General features: G+C 33.7%; 1 annotated feature.

The window, feature by feature from the left end:
- Positions 2,517-3,103: an enhancer, noted in NCBI's record as "NANOG hESC enhancer chr4:35920037-35920623 (GRCh37/hg19 assembly coordinates)". NCBI's record gives its function as "activates a minimal SCP1, AML or CMV promoter by ChIP-STARR-seq in naive and primed H9 embryonic stem cells {active_cell/tissue: H9 hESC(naive and primed)}" and the evidence as "EXISTENCE:reporter gene assay evidence [ECO:0000049][PMID:30033119]".

Below are 3,482 nucleotides of genomic sequence, written 5' to 3'. Positions count from 1 at the left end.
TGATCTCTTATTAAGTTAGTTTTCTCCTTCAAGAAAGGCACTAATTAAAGAAGGGCATGAACTTTCTTCTTTTGATGAATTTCACATGTAATTTTCAACTAAACTGTATTCATGGATAACATGGTATGGCTGTTCCAAGCTCTCAAATATTCACGTATTAGAAAAGGGTAAAATCTGCTTCCTTCATTTGCAGGCTTCTCAGTGATATAAGGCAGCCAGCCTTTTGCCTCCATATGTGAGTTGTGTGTTGACCCTTAAACTCTTATTAAATCAATAACCACTCCAAGTTTCTTTAGTAAAAAGAATCACCTAGAAAACATTTTATTATGAACACTTTTAACATACCAAAAAATAAAACAGAAAAGTGAATATCCATATATAATGATAATCTAGCTAAAACAATTATTAAAATATTGACAGTCTTATTTCATTGACCATACTCTTCTCACTTTCTTTCTTTCCTTAAGCCAAAGTATTTTTTTAAAATCCCACATACCATGTAATTGCTGCCAGAAGTTCTTCATCCTGCATCTTATTGACAAGTCTTTTAAGATAAGCTCATATTATATTATTATCTGGAGTTGAAACTAATTCTTTAATTCAATTAATAATCACCCACATTTATATTGACCTAATTGTCTCAAAACTGTTATTCTAAAGTTAATTTGCTAAGATCAGGATCCAAATAAGGTCCATACATTGTTTTTCTTTTTTTCTTCATGTCATTGTTTTGTTGAATGTATCAGGTCACTTTTCTTTGTAGCATAACTTAAAGCTGGCTTATTGCTTCTAGTGATGTCATTTATCTTATTTTTCTGTCACACGTGTCACCTGAAAACTGGTACTTAGATCTAGATATTTGATTAGATTTAGGGTCAATTAGTGGGGGAAACAAAAAATTTTCCTATAATATCATATCAGAAGTTACATGATATAATAATGTCTGACTTTTAGGGATGCCTCAGCTGATAAGTTCTAACAATGCTAAGTGATACTTTTTCATAAAATTCCTTGTCATATTCTATTCAGTGGTTTTATTGGATTATTATTGTCAAACTCCATTATTTCATTAGGTGGTACAAGATGATAATTTTACACTTCTATTGGGACTTTTGCATTTGTTAGCTGAAGTGATTCTTTAAAAAAGAATTTTTACACATCTATTTTCTCATCTTGAAATAGAGTTTGTTCAGGCAAGGTAGTATAAATCATTGGTTTGTTCCCTTTATTGTTAAGTTTTCAAAATAATGAGTTCATACTTTAGGAACTTTCAATGGAGACCCACAAGTCTGTATGTATGTGTGTAAAAGGACACATTTGGAATCCATGGGTTTCATATGTTAACGTGATTTAATTTTTGGAATTCAGTATTATTTTAACATTTCTTGCAAGGCAGATCTGCTGTTAATAAATTGTCTTAGTTTTTGTCAGAAAAAGTCTTTTTTTCCTTCAGTTTTGAAGATAATTTTGCTGGATTAGAATTATAGGTTATATTGTGTGTATGTGTGGATGTTTCTTAAGCACTCTAAACATTCTTCTTTACTTTCTTCTTACCTGCATAATTTCCTCTGTAGATAAGATATTTTTTCTCCTTTTTTTATCAAGAATTTTTCTTTGTCTTTGTTTGTCTGTAGATTGATAATGCTATGACTAGGTATAGTTTTGTTGGCATTTGCTTACTTGGTATTCTCTGAGTTTCTTGGATCTGTGACTTCGTGTCTGCCATTATTTTTGGAAAGTTTTCCACCATGATTACTTCAAATATTTCTTCTACTCTTTTCTCTATGTCTTCTCCCCTGAAACTCTGATTATATGTATATTATACCTTATGAAATTGTTCCAGTTTTTGGATGCTCTGCTGTTTTTTTAAACTTTCTTTTCTTTTTGCATTTCAACATAACCTCAAACTCATGATTTTTTTCTTCATGTTCTACTGACGTCAGTGTGAGGCATTCTTCATTTCTCTTGCAATTTTTAAAATTTTTAGCATTTCCTGTTGAGCCTTTCGAAGATTTGCTGCCTCTGTGCTTACATTACTAGTCTGTTCTTGCACATTGTCTACTTTTTCCATTAGAACTCTTCACATACAAATCATGGGTATTCTAAATGCCATGTCTGATAATTCTAATATCTGTGTCATATTTGAGTTTGATTCTGATGCTTCCTTTATCCCTTCATATTATATTTTTACTTGCATTTGTAGTGCCTTATGATTTTTTATTGAAAGCTAGACATGTACTGGGTAAAAGAAACTGAGCTAAATAGATCTTTAGTGTGAGTATTTATGTTAACCTAGTGGGGGAATTGGCTGTTTAATGTTTTCTGTGACTACAAGGGCCAGAGCTTTCAAATCTCTCTTGTGTTCTAGCATATGCCACTCATCTTAACTTTGAGTTTCCCTACGTACTCTTTCCAAGAGAGACCCTGTGCCTTGCAGCTCTTATAGCTAGCTGTAATAAATTCTTCCGATGATGCCCTATTGCTGTGATGGCAAGATGCTAGGAAGGGGAAAGATTCTGTAATTTATGATTAAGTCTCAGTCTTTTCATAGACATGTGTCTCTGGGCTGTGACCTTCATAACTGTTTTCTTAATAGAAATGCTTATTTTTCACTCCAGCTCCTTTCTCACTTCTCTGGCTGCAGCATTTCCAGTCAATTTTTCTTGAAGCCTTGACCCATACTCATTATGCCCTCCCATCACCCCTTATATAAGACAGGAAGGCTAAAAGGGACTGGAGGGTGAGGAAGGATTTTCTCCCAGCTGGAATGAAGCTCTGGTAGTCTTTTTCTTTGTAAAGTAGGTTTTTGTTATGGAGAAGGCTTTGAGAATATTTCACAATGATTCCACTTTTCCCCACACCAGAACCAGCAGGGGACCTGTCTCTGATCTTTACCCTAAAATCCTGGTGCAGTTCCTGAAAGTTTTGTCCATGAAAGTGTGAGGACCTTCCTGTGACTGTGGTTCACTGAGATTTTTTATTCTCACACTAGTCCACATTCCACGTCTAGGAATTTGTCAGAATTACCATTTAAATCTTCCTGTCAGTTCAAGGCTCCTGAAGATGTTTTATAAATAAAAGGATCTTGTTTGTGAACTCTCTGGATTCACCTGTCTCTAGACATTGGTAGCAGTTTGCTCTGTAACCTCAGTTCTCTGATAGGTCCAATAAAAGACATTAATTTTCAGTTTGTATCAATTTTTCTAGTTTTAAGAATAGGGGTGGTGAATTCCAAGATTTTGGATGTCAGAGCTTAAACCACAAGTCAAATTCAGTATTCTTGTTGAATCTTTAAATTCTTTCATCCTAGACTGATGAAAGTTACAGCAAATTGGATTGTATATTATTTAGATAGATATGACCTCATTTGTATTTGATTGATTCCTTTCTTTCTGGCGTAAGATATTGCAGGATCATTTTGTTCACTTTCTTTGCCAAATCTGGAATGAGACTTTTTTTCAAGGCGCCATGAAAATAATCAC

The sequence above is a fragment of the Homo sapiens genome, chromosome 4, assembly GCF_000001405.40.
Source record: "Homo sapiens chromosome 4, GRCh38.p14 Primary Assembly".
Taxonomy (NCBI): domain Eukaryota; kingdom Metazoa; phylum Chordata; class Mammalia; order Primates; family Hominidae; genus Homo; species Homo sapiens.
Note: the sequence above shows the minus strand (reverse complement) of the source record. Positions and strands in the feature narration are given on the sequence as shown.